The sequence below is a fragment of the Homo sapiens genome, chromosome 8 (genome assembly GCF_000001405.40).
Source record: "Homo sapiens chromosome 8, GRCh38.p14 Primary Assembly".
Lineage (NCBI taxonomy): Eukaryota > Metazoa > Chordata > Mammalia > Primates > Hominidae > Homo > Homo sapiens.
This window is the reverse complement of record NC_000008.11, coordinates 106,885,719-106,904,125: the sequence shown is the minus strand read 5'-3', so window position 1 is coordinate 106,904,125 and position 18,407 is coordinate 106,885,719. Positions and strand designations below refer to the sequence as shown.

The following is an 18,407-nucleotide window of genomic DNA, read 5'->3' as shown; positions in this document are numbered from 1 at the left end:
GGTCTTGCTTGCTCTGTTGCCCAGGCTGGAGAGCAGTGATGCAATCACAGCTCACTGTAAACTTCTATTCCTGGGCTCAAGTGATCTGCCCGCTTCAGCCTCCCAAAATGCTGAGATTACAGGCGTGAGCCACTGCACCTGGCCTATAAATATTTTTTTGTCAAAGAAAAGATAAACAAAAAATTCAGCATAATGTTTTCCTCTGAGAGAGTGGCCAAAGACAAGCTGGAAAGAAGGCTATAGGTAGAATGACTGGCTTTGTTATAATTCCTGGTTTAGATAAACTCAGAATGAATATGGTTGAGTAAATAAACAAATGAATAAAAAGAACGGGAGGGTCCTGTGTGGAGCAATAATTACAGTACCATTGCTCTCATTCCTCTGCAACAGCTCACCTTTCTTACGAGCTACCAGAAGGAAAGTCTCCTTCCTATTTCAAGAGCAATTGGTTCCTTATATGAGACTTTGAAACATATCCAAATTAAATAATCTGTATCTTATTTGAAATCCCACCATTTTATCCCATAATACCATCCTCTCTTCCTTAGGACGAAAAGAAGAAGGAAGAAGGGGGACAATCTGGAATTTAATTTTTTTTTTTTTTTGCCTCAACGCTATGTTTGCATGGCATTGCTTCACGCCTTGAAAATGGACCTTCAGTCACTTTGACACTAAACAACCAAGAGTATAATTGTTTTAATTGCATTGAATAACTGATTGAATTAACAAAAAATCAGGCTTGTGTTTGATATATACTTAGCATAAATTGAGGCAGATTTCATTTTTCCATAAAGTTTTTAAAATTGTAATAAAATTAAAAGACTTTTCATCACAGAAGCCACAATATTCCCAATATTTTTTATTTCTCTGAAATCAAAAGGAGTTATTCTGCAGACACAAACTTGAATTGAAGAGTCACAGAATCTTACAAAGGACCTATGGTAGACTAATGGACCCCAAAATGTTTATATCCTAATTCCCAGAATATATGAATGTTCCTTTTTGTGGCAAAAGAGGCTCTGCAGATGTGATCAAGGTTATGAATTTTGAGATGGGGAGATTATGCTGGATTATCATAATAGGCCTAATCTAATCACATCAGCTCTTAAACATAGAAAACCTCTCCCAGCAATGGTCAGAGAGATGTGATGACACATAAAAAAGCAGGAGAGAGAAGGCAGGAGAAGGATGACAACTTACATTGTTGGATTTGAAGACAAAAGGGCCCACAAGTTAAGAAATACAGGCCACCTCTAGAAGCTGAGAATGACCACCAGCTGAGAGCCAGCAAAGAATGGTGCCTCAGTCTAACAACTTCAAGGGAATGAATTTGTATTTGTCGGTTCTCATGCTGCTAATAAAGACATACCCAAGGCTGGGTAATTTATAAAGAAAAGAGGTTTAATTGATTCACAGTTTCACATAGCTGGGGAGACCTCAGGAAGCTTACAATCATGGTGGCATGGGAAGCAAACATGTCCTTCTTCACATGGTGGCAGGAGAAAGAATGAGAGCCAAACGAAGGGGGAAGCCCCTTAATAAAACCATCAGATCTCATGAGAACTTACTATATTGAAACCAGGATGTGGGAACCTCCACCAATGATTCGGTTATCTCCACCTGGTCCCGCCCTTGGCACATGAGAATTATTACAATTCAAGATGAGATTTTGGTTGGGGACACAGAGCCAAACCATATCAGGTCCAATTTACTCCCTATCGAGATATAAAATAATATATGTGTGTTGTTTAAACCACTAAGTTTGTTGTAATTGATAAGGGCAGCAATAGAAAATGCATATAGAACCTTAGTGAACAGAGATGTGATTTCCTCAGAGTCTACAACTTTTAGGAAAAATATTAGGGGCAAAATACTGTACTATTAATTTATCTATTATCTTTAAATTTATTATTGGGAAAATTGGAATATACCCATAGTTTCCTGGTAATAATTATTGAACTGCTTCCTAATGTACATTAGCAAATTAACAAATGTTTTGAAAAGATGCAGAAAATGATTTTCTTAAATTAACATCAATTAGTTTTCAAGGAAAAAAATTACAAAAACTTTTTGTTTTGGCTTAGATGAAAATAATTTCCACATTTTAAAAAGTTGTCTCATGTACATCATTTAAGAAATGTTAGCTTTCATAGATGTGTACTGTGACTACTGCTATTCAACCTAGTACTAGAAGCCCTAGCCAGAGCAATCAGGTAAGGGAAAGAAATAAAAGGCATCCAAATAGTTAAAAGAGGAGGTCAAATTTTCTCTCTTTGCTGACAATACCACTCTATATCTAGAAAACTCTAAAGACTCCACCAAAAAGCCCCTGGATCTGATAAATAACTTCAGTAAAGTGTTAGCATACAAAATCAACATACAAAAGTTGGTAGCATTTCTATACACCAGTGATTTTCAAGCTAAGAGCCAAATCAAGAACACAATTTTTACAATAGCCATACACAAAAAAATAAAATACATGTAACCAGGGTGGTAGGAGAGCTCTACAAGGAGAACTACAAAACACTGCTGAAAGAAATCATAGATGACACAAATAGAAAAAACACTCATGCTTATGGATTGGAAGAATCAACATTGTCCAAATTGTCCATATTACCCAAAACAATCTACATATTCAATGCCATTTGTATCAAATCATCATCATTTTTCACAGAAAAAACTATTCTAAAATTCATATGGAACCAAAAAAGAGCTCAAATAGCCAAAGTAATTCTATGCAAAAAGAATAAAGCTAGAGGCATAATACCTGATGTCGAACTATACTACAAGGCTACAGTGACTGAAACAGCATGATACTGGTACAAAAATAGACACAGACCAATGGAATAAAATAGAGAACACAGGAGTAAAGCCACACACCTACAACCAACTGATCTTCAACAAACTCAACAAAAATAAGTAATTAGGAAAGGACTTTCTATTCAATAAACAGTGCTGTGAAAACTGGCTGTTTGTAGAAGAAGGAAACTGAACCCCTACCTATCACCATATACAAAATGACTAAAGGTGGATTAAAGACTTAAATGTAAGACCGCAAACCATAAAAATCCTAAAACAAAACCCAGGAAATACCCCTCTAGACACTGGCCTAGGGAAAGAATGTATGACTAAGTCCTCAAAAGCCAATTGCAATGAAAATAAAAATTGAAAATTGGGACCTAATTAAACTAAAGAGCTTCTGCACAGCAAAGGAAACTACCAACAGAGTAAACAGACAGCCTAAGGAATAGAAGAAAATATTCACAAGCTATGCATCCAACAAAGAACTAATATCCAGAATCTACAAGGAACTTAAATCAACAAGAAAAAAAGTAACCCCATTAAAAAGTAGACCAAGTACATGAACAGATACTTCTCAAAAGAAGACATAAAAAGGCCAACAAACATATGAAAAATAGGCTCAACAACACTAATCATCAGAGAAATGCCAATCAAAACTACAATGAGATACCATCTCACACCAGTCAGAATGACCATTATTAAAAAGTCAAAAAACAACAGATACTGGTGAGGCTGCAGAGAAAAGGGAATGCTTATACTCTGTTGGAGGAAATGTAAATTACTTCACTATAGAAATCAGTTTGGAGATTTCTCAAAGAATTAAAAATAGACCTTCCATTCTACCCAGCAATCCCATGACTGGGCATATAACCAAAGGAAAATAAATCATTCTACCAAAAAAAAAACAACACACACACACGCATGCATATGTTTATTGTAGCACTATTCACAATAACAAAGAAATGGAATCAACCTAGGTGCCCATCAACAGTGGACTGGATAAAGAAAATGTGGTACATATATACCACGAACACTACACAGCCATAAAAAAGAATGAAATCATGTCCTTTGCAGCAACATGGATGCAGCTGGAGGCCATTATCCTAAGCAAATTAATGCAGGAACAGAAAACCAAATATCACTTATAATGTCACTTATAAGTGAGAGATAAACCTTCAGTTTGTTCCCTTCAGTTCAGTTCCCACAAACATATTGATGGGAACAATAGATACTAGGGGGCCTAAAGATGGTCAAAGGAATGAAAAACTTCCCATTAGGTACTATGCTGACTATCTGGGTGATGGGACTATAAAAGTCCAAACTTCAACATCATGAAATGTACCCTTGTAACAAACCTGCACATGTATCCCCAACTCAAATTAAAATTAAAAAAGAAATGTTCATTTTATTAGCAACAGAACTCATGTAGACTTCCAACAAAAAAGCTGTTTGCTGCTGTTCTTATACTACAAGAGCAGCAGGCAGGTTCCCTGGAGAGTTCAGGGTGGACCACTATGGAAATTATTGCTTTATTAATTCAATAAAACATGTATTTTAAAATATTATAAATATAAGAAATCTAAAAAATATGAAGGGCGTTTAAAATAAAAAGAGATTGTAGAATTTATTAATGGGCCATAGAGAACGTTTTTAAGTTGGAAAGCCAGCAAATTGTACTGGAAATACCTTAAACTTGGGGGCAAAACATTTCTCGTCATATAGCCTTGGACAAAAATCCCTCTAGGGCTCAATATTCTTATCTGTAAACTAGTGGAGGACCAAATCTGTTTCTGCCTGAATGCCATATTATTTTATGAACCAAATGATACAGTGCAGATGAAGGTGACATGTAAAGAGAGCACAAAAATTACTCTGGACTAGGAGCCAGAAGCCCTGAGTGTTCCTTCCCAATCTGCCACATGACATTGTATTCCATAGCAAGCCATTTCAGCCTTCAAAATTTCAGTCCTATCATCTGAAAAACAAATAATGTAACATTGCCTTTGAACATCGTAAGATGCTGTCTTTGATATTATTTTCAAATAGCAAAGCTATAATACACCTGAGACTTTTTGGATACATAAGAAGGACAGCTCACTTTCAAGGAGTCAGGTCCAAAGAAATCTGAATACTCTCTGAGTAAATGATGAGATAATGTGTTGTGGATGGAGTTGTTGTCCCAGATACAAAAATTCATGATTTTAGACTGCTATGTAAACCTACAAGTTTGGATTAATTCCCAAAGGAGCTTAATCCTTAAAGGAAACACTCTTTGAAAGAGAATCATTAAGTATATGTGCAAGATTAATGGAAGAGAGACCTAAAGTGAAGCCAAAAAAGAAAGGCATTGCACAGAAACTTTCTGAAAGTCAAGAGGTAAACACTAACAGCATTGATATAATGAAGAGGACTTCCACATATTACTTCATGAAGAGAGGATTCTGTCTCATGTGTTTTCAGAAATACCTGAAAGGGTTATATGATATCTCAGTAATGAGAAATATCACAAAAGCTAGCCCACTCATCTCTTTGAATGGAATCTGGAGTATCTAACATGTCATTAAATTAAGAACATAAAAGTAGAATACCATTTTTTGGGGGGTTTTTGCCATGCAATTGAGACTCTTTTTCTTACAAAAATGGTCAGAATACTCTAATGTTTCTGATTAGAACACAATTCCACCAAACTAATCATACATGCTCAGATGGGCCAGGTATCTTATTTCTAATATAAATTACAAAAGAAAATGTGTATTCTGTCCAGGTGGATCAGAACCCAGAAATTCTAACAACTACTCCTTAATTGTACTTTCCACTGTTAAGACCAAAGATGATAACCTGCTGTTAATAATTCTTCCAGAAACCTCCCTGGATGCTGACATACTGTTTCTGAACAAGTTGTGATTATTTATCCCTCTCTTCTTGCAATTGTTTACAAATATCAAGCTTCTCATTCAGAATTAAAATTTTAATTTCTCCCAACAAGTAGTAGAGCATCACTTGGCAAATCCACAGTATGGCATCATTATATCTTCATAAAAGATAGGATTTTTAATATAATCACTAGGTCATTAAAAATGTAATGGCAAAATATTAAAAATTTTAAGGAAACTAGCTCAGAAATAAACCAATTATAATTGAATTATAAAAATGAACAATAAAATTATAACACATAAGAGTGTTATTGTATGGCTCTTTAAAATCCCCACCTTGCCTTTGGAATCACGGAATCACTCAGACCTGATTTAAATCCTCTCTCTGACACTAATTCATGTTAGGAACTTAATCATCTTAACCTGTTTACATTACAGTATGCTTGGTAAGACTATCTAGTTTATAGGACTGTGGTGAAAATTAAAAAAGGAAATATGTGCAAACCTCCTACCATAATATATATTAAACCATCAATAAATAAATGGTAGATATTTCTCTTTAATTAGTCCATAACCATAAAAAGTAGAGAAAATCATTCCAATTTTACAAATGAAAGCTCTGCAGAAATAGAATCTAGAAACCACTTTGGTGACACCAGTGTAATAATCAGAGCAACCTTTTAGAACTGTATAGAAGTTTGTCATTTAAAACTTTTAAAGTATCTTATTTGATACATATCCATAGCAATAGACAATTCATACACTTTTAGAGAAGAGAAAATTGAGGCTTAGAGAAATTAAATGACTTTTTAATAATCACTGTTATTGTAGTAGATGTATTTTGGTTGCATAGCGTTTTTCTTTGTCTTAAAACATGTCCTGTCCTCTTCTTCATTTATAGGGTTCCTGTGAGAACTTCCAAGCTTCAGATCATTCCCTTTTCTGTCTAGAGTTGATTGGCTCATGAGTGGGAAGAAAACTCAAATAGGGCAATAATAGTAGCCTACATTCACAGAGACCACAGTTGATTGGTCCAAGGGTAGACATCTGACTCAGTCTGAGCCAATGGGTCCCATCTCAAGATTTTTTGAAAGTTCTCTCTGATGACAGGGGTTTAATATGTTTAACTCTGGAGTTGTGTGTTGGCTTCTGTGACTTCTGTAGAATGTGAAAGATGATTCTGAGCAAGAGAAAAGGATAAAGTAAATAAACAAATTGAAGTAAAGATGTAAGAGAGCAAGAGAGTCCCTGTTCCAATTTTTCATGAGATGCAGGCTCATCACATCCCTGTTCTTGGGTTCCATGTGGTACACCAGTATCCTTGTTCTAAAAAATTCCATTTTAGATGAAGCCAGTTCATATGGTTTCTGTAACTTGGAGCCAAGAGAGACTAAAAGGAGGTTTTCTTCTACTAAATTTGGTAATCATCTCACTAGATAAGACACTAATAACCATCGCTGTCTTCCAAATACCTCCTTTTGCCATTTTTATTTATTTAATATTTGGTCCTAAGTAGGAAGTGTGATGAGCTTGAAATTCTATGCATGCATCGAATGTATTACAGTATATATGAAGGAAATGACCCAAAACATAGAGGGAAAGACCCATGCCCTAAAACTGCTTCAATTCATCCAGTATACACTCAATTCAGCTAATGAATGTTAAATTATTTAAGCCTGCCCTTCTCCATATAACCCCAGTTCATTCCATATGTTTGTTGTTTGCTTGCTTTTCCTGCTGTTGGTATTCCCAACCCCCAAACTACAACCTTGACAGCTGTTTACCTAGCAAAGTGTTGTTGCTTGTATCTCAGCAGAGAGGTAATTTCAAGAAGTCTTCCCTTAATTTCCAGCTCTGGGTTCTGTGCACCTCCTTGTGCTCTCTGAGCACCTGTATTTGATCTACTATAACTCTTATTCCTCTGCAGTGAAATTGCCTAATAAGGTCTACCAATATAATGTAAGTCTAAAGGGCAATAACTACCTATTTCAGTAGTGCATTTTTGGTAGCTAGAATATTGTATAACATGTAGTGGGCACTCAACAAATATTTGTGAGAGTCACTCTTTGTGAATAAACTCCCTTGGAGATTTCTAACAACTTCAAAAGCACCCACATGCAAACAAATCGCTGATGAGATTATCTCCTTACTGATGAAAGCATCTGAGATTACTCAGTTGTGTTGGGATACACATTAGATTGAAAGCTACTCAATTTTAATATGCCTGAAGTCCTCTTTGGAAATCTGATAAACAGAGTATTAAAGGCAAATTTAAATGGGCACTGAAATAGGAACTGCCTTTGGAGCATGTTTAGACAATTCTATTTAAGGTTGATAATAGAGAATGAAAGATTAATATCTATATTCCAGCAAAGGACAATAAGAACACCAAATATTGTCCCCCTAGAAAAGCAAATTACAACAGGTTAAAATTGAGAATTGTATAATGGTTCTCATCTAACTGGCTATTGACTCATATTTTGGCAATATTATTGTAGACTATCAATTCTCAAAAAACAAAAAAATGTTTTGCCATATGGGAGTGGACAAAACTGTGTAACCGAATCTCTCTCAGAATCTATTGGAAATGACAGTGATTAAATAAAATAACACAGTTAAAGAAATATATATGCTACTCGGATTCCATCAGCAATTTAAATGGTATGAAACAAATGATCCCCCTCACTAGGTGACATCAATCTGACATAAACAATAGCACTAGGAGAGAAACATACCTAAATATACTCCTGTCAAAAAGACTTAGGTTGAAGAGAGGCAGAGAGGAAGTCCAATGTTTTAGTTTCTATCAACTGTTTGACACAGTGTTTTCATCCTACTGCTGATCTTGGCCCTCCACTGTTTTTCTTAAGATTTCTAGAAATTTACAAGGGCATTGTGCATCCTAGGCAGGAGAATGGCAGTGCTTGGTAATGTGGTATGTCTAATATCATGCCTGGCACATACTATGCATTTAATAAATACCATTCAATAAGTGAAAGAACAAAACTAGCCAGCTTATTGCTTGGCTATACACTTTAAACTTATTTTGCAAATGCTTTTCAATTTTTAATTGATTTTTAACAACAACAAACCTTGGTAGTACATGAAAGCAAAGCAGTTTTATTCATAAATAGAATAGACGGCCTTTAACACATCTTGAGTTTAAAGCATGCCTCTCCCAAACTATGTCTATGTCTGTCATTAGAGTCACTTTTGGTTTGTTTATAGAAACACACTAGTGAAATCCAAATGTTTTCTCTGGGTCAAGTATTTGAATATAAACGTACCTATAGTTCTCAACAAATGGGAAAAGACCAATTTATCCACTTCCCCAGAAAATATCTTTAAAATCAGAAAAGTGACAATAATATATTAATATTGTGCCAACATGATTAGTAAACTAAATAAAACAATTTCCTACAAATATGTGTTTAGTATAAGTCCTTCAAAAAGAAACAGGAAACATAAAAGTCTATAAACCATTTGTGATGGTTAATACTGAGCGTCAACTTGATTGGACTGAAGGATGCAATATTGATCCTGGGTGTGTCTGTGACAGTGTTACCAAAGATGTTATCAGTGGGGTGGGGAAAGCAGATCCACCCTTAATCGGGTGGGCACCATCTAATCAGCTGCCAGCAAATATAAAGCAGGCAGAAAAACATGAAGAGGCGAGACTGGTCTAGCCTCCCAGCCTACATCTTTCTCCCGTGTTGGGTGCTTCCTGCCCTCGAACATTGGACTCCAAGTTCTTCAGCTTTGAGACTTGGACTGGTTCTCCTTGCTCCTCAAGCTTGCAGACCGACTATTGTGGGAACTTGTGATTGTGTAAGTTGTGTAAGTTAATATTTAACAAACTCCTATATATATTATATATTATATATAATACGTATTATATAATATATATAATATGTATTATATGTAATATAATATATGTATTATAGGAAATATATAATAGATATAATATATAATATCACATATATTATTGTTATAATATGAATATTAATAATATAATTATAATTTATTTTACATATTACATATAATATATATTATTTTATATTATTACATTATATATTATATAATAAAATAATATATATTTTATATAATATGTATATTTCATATATATGAAATATATATATTTATATATAATAGGATATATATATATATCCTATTAGTTCTGTCCCTCTTGAGAACCCTAATACACCATTAAAGAAATATTAGCAGTTGAAAATCTACCCAGGTCATCCAAAGCATTTCAAACTACATTACAGATAAATTATACTAAATAATAAAGAAAAATTGTTACAAACTTCACAAACTCTTCCAGAAAAAGGAGGAAGAGAAGAAACACGCTGTAACTTTTTTTGAGGATAGCATCACCTTAATATAAATATTAGAGTTTAAAAGGAAACTTTAGACTAAACTCCTTATTAACAGAATTGAAAAAAATGAGTAATACATTTTAGATTTATTCTATCAATACAAGATGAATTTTACAATAGAAAATATTATTCACCACCTAAACAGAGTAAAGAACATTCAGATAATCACAGAAGCAAGGCAAGCATTCAGAAAAATTCTATACCAATGAATGACAAAACTTTTATAAAAGTCAGTAAGAGATTGGAATTTCAGTAAAATCACCATCTAGTGTGATATTTATTGTAAGTTTTATATAGATCCTTTTATGCTTTCAGATAAAAAGGATCTACATAAAACTTACAATAAATATCACACTAGATGGTGAATCATTAAAAGCATCCCCTTTAAATTCAGGAATGGATAATATCTGGAATTATCACTTTTAACCACATAGACCTGAAGGTTCAAGCCATCCAGTAACATGGAAAAATCAATGTTTGAAGGAATAAAGATTGAAAAGGAAGAAACTAAACAATTATTATTCCCACACATAGATACCCCAAAAGTTAACATGGGAAATTTGTGAGAACTAAGAGAATCCATCGAGATTGATGGACATAAGGTAGTTTTAAGTCTCATTTCTATATACTAGCAACCAATAAAATAAAATTTTAAAACATCAATTTAAATAACAATAAAACATAGTAGATAGAAATGAATTTAAGAAAGAGCTTCATGGAGAAAAGTATAAAAACTTACTCTAAGACATTTTAAAATACCTGGATAAGTTCTTTGCGGGGACATAAATGAAGTTGGAAACCATCATTCTCAGCAAACTAACACAAGAACAGAAAACCAAACACCGCATGTTCTTACAAGTGGGAGTTGAACAATGAGAACATATGGGCACAGGGAGGGGAACATCACACACTGGGGCCTGTAGGAGGGTGGGGGGCAAGGGGAGGGAGAGCATTAGCACAAATACCTAATGTAGATGACTGGTTGATGGGTGCAGCAAACCACCATGGCACATGTATACCTATGTAACAAACCTGCACTTTCTGCACATGTATCCCAGAACTTAGGGTATAATAAAAAAATACCTGGATAAGTGAACAAGGATAATAAAATATGATATTTCTCAAACTTAGCTGTGGCTGCTCATTGGAATCATTTGGAGGATTTTAAAAAACACTGACCTCTGGGCCCCACTCCCAGAAATCATGATTAAATTGATCTGGAGTGCAGGCTAGGCTTTGGAAGTGTGCAGAGCTCCTCAGGAGACTCTAATATGCAGTAAAGGTTGAGAACGAATATTCTAGTGAATGCTGTGGTGCCCACCCCGATCCCCACATATGAAAGAAACACCCCATTCCTCCAGCTGCTTAGAGTAGTACTGGCAACTGATAAGCTGTCAGGTGACTCCCATCCCCAGAACTTGCCCTCAAGTACTTCAGCTGAGGACAGCAGATACGTAAATTACAAAATTGAACAGATTCTGGCATACTTAAACAATCTCATATAGGTGATCCGTAACAATGATGCAGTTCTTCCCTCTTGTGTTGGTCCTGGCAGCCTATGATTTCTAATGTCCTTGTACATGCACGGCATTGATTCATCACCTGGTTTACCTTGTGACATCGCACATCCCTTCCCTTGTCCATCAGTCTCACTAGAGACATCCTGAATGAAACGATTTCCACACCATTATAACTAGGATGAACTTTCATTCTCATTTGCCTGGGACAGTCATACTTTACAGCTATCTCCCAGTGCCATTATTAATAGCACCCTTTTCACTCTCATAAGTGTCCCACTTTGGTAAAATTTATGATTGCCAAAATTGTAATTCAATTTTATGATCACCATAAATGCAATAGTTGAAGACAGGCTTTTGAGAAGGAAACTTCATCTCTTAGAAATAAAGACACTGAAGTAACTTTTAAACAAACATAGCCATTCTTTCCAGCAGTAGAGAGAGATGAATAGCACCCAGTCTTACCAATATTCAGAAAGTCCTTGCCATAAACAGAGACTGCAGGTCCCTACAGCAGATGTTCACTAAGGAGATGGAATGGGACTAGGTGGATGAAAAGAAGCTGTTCTCCATGCTGCCTATTGCAGGAGAAAGAAATGGTTCTCTGACAGCATGACTAATGATCACTTGTCCAAGCCTTGCCCTTTCACTGGCCAAATCACCTGACCTCTGAACTGATACACTACTTTTAGAATCCAGATTCTCAGAATTCTTAGTAACTTGTCCAGCTCCCAAAACTAACTTTGTAATTCCCAGAAAGAAAACAAGCTGTGAAAAATGCCTGTAGTACGACCAGTAGTCAGTTCTAAATACACACTTTAAGTGGAAAAGTGTATACTATATTTTCTATGCCTATCTTTGATACAGTAATATATGAACATTAGAATGGCAGCATTAAGAGTGCTTTCATGATGATCAAAATGTTATAATTATAATCAAATGAAAACTGAACACAGCATTGTTTATATATTAAATGGGGACACAAAAATGAATTAAAGCACACATTAGTGATATGGAACTTTCAGTGATGCGCAATTCTTCAAAAAAAGTGAGACAATCCCAAATTTCCAATCTATTTGTCCACAAAGACAATTTATAAATCTAATAAAGTAATAAATATTAATAAGACGGAAATGAAGATTTTAAATTGTTTATCTAAATTTAGGAATATATATATATATATATATATAATATATGCTAAGCAGAAAGATTATCATGTGAAAATCTCCCCAGAAAAAAATTCCTTTCTTTTAGAAAATTGCCAGAGCTCCAAGTAAATTGAATTAATGTGAACAACTGATACCAGTGAGGGCTAGATAAATATCACTGGAATCCACCTGGCTTAAGGAATAAAAATTCTCTGGTTGAAAGTATTTTATTAAAGGAAGAAAATCATTCAACCATATGATCTCCAAGGAGAAAAATCCTAAGGAACAAGTATCCATCTTACAAAAAAAATCGAATAGGACCTACATTCTGATATAAATGCTGATGGTCTCGCCAAATGTTCTCATGCTGCTGAGATTTCCCCTACAGCTTGAAATGAAAATTCAACCATAACTGGCACGTAGGGACATGTTCCTTGTTCAAAAATCCAGTATCGCCAAGTGAAGTAAAACCCAGTGTATGTCAACCTTGAGGGGATTGGTGTTTTTATTTGGCTCAAGAATTTGATATGTAGAACATGAGCTGGGAACACAATTTAACCCAATTCCCATCTCAAAGCCTAAATCCAAATGAATAAATGAATCCCTTTTGGGTTTTATCTGCCTGGTACAATAAAGACACTGTCACGTTAAAAGAAAGCTGTGACATGATGGACCAAGTGGACTCCTCCCACAGCATTGAAGCCAGTGCCAAGGAACTGGAATATTTGTAGGATGAAACCATATCCTGACGGGTTAGTCTTCATGTATATCCAACTGTTCCTTGTTTGGCAATCTGAAGCTATTCCAAAAGGGCATACTATTCTATCAGCAACAGTGGAGGCAAGGTTGTTTACAAATGCCACCTACAAAGTTACTAGCTTTTGAAACTTCCATGTGCTTCCATCCCATTAGGCAATGCTGCTTCCCATTCTGTTAACAAGGGCCAGTGTCTCTGGCAGGTGTAGCGAGTTTAGACAGAGATGTCTTGCATAGGCATCCCATAGAGCTGACCCTAGACCATCATTTTGAATCCCTGGAAAGCCAAAGCAAGAAGTGCTTCTGAAACAACCTCAGGTTCATGCCAAGTCCCTAGCTGTACAAGAAAGAGACATATTTTTTATATACTCCCAACTAGAGTTTTTGTAGCTGAGAATACGATTTTTAGTCCTCAGCATACCAGTGAGAATTAGGTTTTGGACCTCAGCATGGTACCTCATGGAAACTGGAAATACATGACTTTCTACTTTCTCTAAATATCTGTTTTAAGCCCTGCAAAACTTAGGGAATGTTAGGAATCCGGTGACTGCATGAGGAATATAACTTCTGCCACTTTCAGGTGCTTATTAACTGGCATCTGAATATTTTAAGCTATCTAGAAAGCATAGTAAATAATATACTTCTAAAACACCCTTCATTAAAAAGTAGTAACAGCATCAATGAAAACCTGTTTATAATACAAATGGGTACTTATTCATATCAAGTATCTAGTGAGCAAAAATATATATATGTAGGTAACAAATATTATATGTTTACATGGTTTTATGTCTCCTCATTAATTGAAAGTTACCTACTTGGGTCAGCCATGCACTGACCAAAATTTAGAAGGATTTTTTATTGTACTTAGTTCCCCTTCTACACAATATGATAATTAAATTTATCTGTCAACTTAGTGGGCCTCAGGTGCTCAGATAGTTGGTCAAACATTATTCTGGGTGTGTCTGTGATGATGTTTTTGGATGAGATTGACATATGAACTGGTAGACTGAATACAGCAGATTGTTCTCCCTGAAGTGGGTGGCCCTTATCTAATCAGTTGAAGGCCTAAATAGAAAAAATAGGCTAGCTCCCCCGATGAGTAAGAGGAAATTCCTCCTGCCTGACTGCCTTTGAGCTAAAACATCAGTCTTTTTTTGCCTTTGAACCCAGAATGAAACATAGGCTTTTCTAGGGTCCCGAACCAAACTGGGTTTTGGACTAGAACTTACACCACTGGCTCTCTTGGTTCTCAGGCTTTCAAACTCGAACTGAAACTACATCATCAGCTCTCTTGGGTCTCTGAGTTGCTGAATGCAGATCTTGGGGTTTATACTCCTCCATAATCATATGAGCCAATTCCTTATAATAAATAAATATATCCTGTTCCATTTCTCTGGAAAACCCTGACTAATACACATGAGGAAAACCACCGAAATAATTACCAAACCACCAAAGAGTTTCAAAACTAGCCTTTGGAATTCAAGTTCAGTTAATGAACGAATATACTTTTAAATATCTAGTGAATCAGAGCTGCTCTGGGCAACACTGAAGAAAAACACAATAAACACAGTCTAGTGAAGAAAAGACAACATATCTAGGCTAGGGAAAGAGATACTTATTATGTAGATAAGAAAACTTCTATACATGAAAAACCAAGGAAAATTTCCATGAAAAAATATAAACAAGTGCTAGATGGTGAAGAAAAGAGTTACTTTAATGTCAGAAATAGCCCTGGGTTAACCAAAATTATTGACACAAAATTCAGTTCTTTCACATCTGCATTTAGCATTTCCTGCTTTATCTAAATTATTTCATGTCTTCCTTAAATTTGGAAACCTCAGTCATCTACATTATATTACATGTCAAGTTGCAGACTAGGAAACAATAACCTATATACACAGAGAGAGGAGATATATATATATATATATATATATATATATATATATATATGTATATAGCGAGAGAGACTATACATATATACCCTATGTGTATAGCCTGGATATATGGTGTGTGTGTGTGTGTGTGTGTGTGTGTGTATATATATATATATAAAATAAAGAAAATACAATTAAAACCACAATGAGATACCACTACAAACCTACTAGAATTACTAAAATTTTAAAAAGTTGACATTGCCTAATGTTAGCAAGACATGGAGCTATTGGAACACTCATATACCCTGATCATGGAAGTGTAAAATGTTGCCAACACTTTGGGAGTGGTTTGACGGTTTCTTAAAAGTGGAAAGTAAATTTACGTATGATCTAAAAATATATGTTTTCCCAAAGATCTACAAGATAAATAAAAATACATGTCTATACAAAATCTTGTCTTAAATGTTTATAGCAGTTTTGTATGTAATAGTGAAAAAGCAGAAAACTGGGAACAAACTGAATGTACATTAACAAATGAATGGAAATACAAACTAGATATTTTTATGCAATGGAAAATTACACAGCAGTGAAAAGCAGTGAATTGCTGAGGTACACAACAAAAAGATGAACCAAAAGGTATGCTAAGCAAAAGAAGACAGATGCAAAGAAATACATATAATTTTATTTATCTAAAATTCTAGAAAGATAAATCAAAGTATAGGTATAGAAAGCAAATCAGTAAATACCTGGGGCTAGTGGTGAAGCATAGGGACTGATTAGGAGAGGGCATAAAGAAAGCTTTGGAGGTGTTGAAAATGTTTTATATTTTGTTGCTGATGGCAGTAACATGGAATATATATTTGTCAAAAATCATCAACCTCTACAGTTACCATGGGTGCATTTTGCTGTATGTAAATTATCCTTCAATAAAATTGATTTTAAAAATCCAAAGAAAACCCAAAGTCAAGTCTAATGTTCTTCTGGATACTCACATGAAAGAGTTCCTTACCTCCTTTCAGTCTTTGTTCAAATGTCATCTTCTCAGTGAGGACTTCCCCTACCACTCTATTTAAAATTTCAACCAGGCTTTCCAATTCTTAACCCTTCTTCTACCCTCTTCCCTACGGTGCTTAGTGTCAGCTAATACACTATATAGTTTACCTAGATTGTATATTTATCATTTATTGTCTGCTTTCTCAAACTAAAATGAAATTTCCATAAAGCTGCAAATATTTTATATTTATTTTTATGTTTCGTTCACTGATGCAACCCCAATAGCTATGTACCTTACACACAGCACATGTGCAATAAGTCTGTACTGGATAAATGAATGAAGTTCCAAAGAGCAAATTTTTTCAGAGCAATCCAGTTTTAGCAAGCCACTAGAGGAAAAGTATTGGGATACCTTTGGGTAATCACATTTCTATGTTGTCATATCTAAACAGTCTTTCTCAAATGTATTTGCAGTGTTACTGGTTAAGTCTAAGTAACAATTGACACATAATCTTGGTATTAAACAGGAGAAAGACTGAGAAAAATATTTTTTAAAGGACGCAAAGACCATGGTGCCACAGTCAATGATACAACAAAGGAGCTGACACGTACCCTATTAAAATGTCACTTTAATCACATTTACTCTTAGGAATGCTTTCAAAGTTAATTTACTCTTAGAACCATTCAAGAAGGTTTATTTACCTGTGTCAAAGAAGGTTTATTATATTTACTTTAATCAAGTTATTTAACCTCTCTGGATCCGTTTTCTCAACTGTAAAATGAATAGGGTTTTCAGACTACGTAGAATCATTGAGTTTTGAAGAAGCTTCTGAGAAATCTAAAGGGTGTTTTTGGCAAGTAGAGCTGGGCTTAGGTAATTAATGAAAAATTTTTGGAGCCAAGTCATCAACATATCAGAACGCTAGAGAGAAAATTCACAAATTCCAGCTAATTCTCCGCTTCCCCAAAGCTAAATTGTCCCACTCTTCTTTTGATTCTATGGGTTACCACAGGGATTCTCCCATAACCTCACCCCCTCTTTTAAAAGTATGTTGACCAGGGTCATCCTCTATCATTTGTCACTGAGAATCCTGAATGATAAAGAAATTGGTCCTTGTTGAAGTGGGGTATCACATGCAGCAAATGCTAAAATGTGAAAATAACTGAAGTTTAAATGAGAAACATCAAGGTTTTCTTGCATTAATTGAGAAAATTTCAATTCTTGCTAGTTTAAATAGAAAAAAATGTTTGATTAAGATGCCATCTGTTATATTTTGAAGCCCAGATCAAATGACTAGACTGGACTTCCAGGCTACTGATAGGAAAGGTCAGTATGCTGAAGTGTGTCAGTTACTTCTTTCAAATTTTCATAAAATGTTACAAGACAGCGATGATCCACTGACATAGCTATATGTATAGGTTTTACCACAAAAGTTCATGTGAAATAATTGCTGGGGGTTCCTGTCATTTTTACTGCATTTTCTAAGTGTTTGTTGTAATTGTTAAAATTGTGCTAATGAAAAACTAGCACATTTAGATTATAAAAAAATTTCAATTGTAAATCACATTACTTTTCTATGTCCTCCAATATTGATCGAGATACAGTACATATTATTAATATAGAAGAGCTTAGCTAATTATAATGCAAAGACTCAGATCTTCCCAAGCATTAAATATGTCATGTTTTTATGACTCTCTGAGAAAACCTGTTATTGTCTCTTTATGTAATTGTACCTTTAACTTTCCTTATTTGCCATTTATAAAAAGCCTTTATAATGCTTAATTGTAGATGTATCTTTCTACCAGTCACATCACTGTTTTATTGTGACAATCAGACAAAACAACTTTAAAGAATTGTAAACAAAGTTTCATCAGCTTATACTTGCATTGTTTTTCTTTTTTTTATTATTTTATCTTAAGTTCTAGGGTACGTGTGCACAACCTGCAGGTTACATATGTATACATGTGCCATGTTGGTGTGCTGCACCCATTAACTTGTCATTTACATTAGGTATATCTCCTAATGCTATCCCTCCCCACTCCCCCCCACCTCACGACAGGC

At 34.9% G+C, this 18,407-nt stretch overlaps 1 long non-coding RNA gene across 1 annotated transcript; it reads right to left on the bottom strand.

The window, feature by feature from the left end:
- Positions 1 to 6,468: 6,468 nt before the first annotated feature.
- Positions 6,469 to 12,148, bottom strand: LOC124902066 (uncharacterized). Its single transcript, XR_007061180.1, has 2 exons — positions 12,040 to 12,148; positions 6,469 to 6,855 (listed from the first exon to the last, which is right to left on the bottom strand). It is a non-coding gene; the product is annotated as an uncharacterized LOC124902066 (long non-coding RNA).
- Positions 12,149 to 18,407: the final 6,259 nt, after the last annotated feature.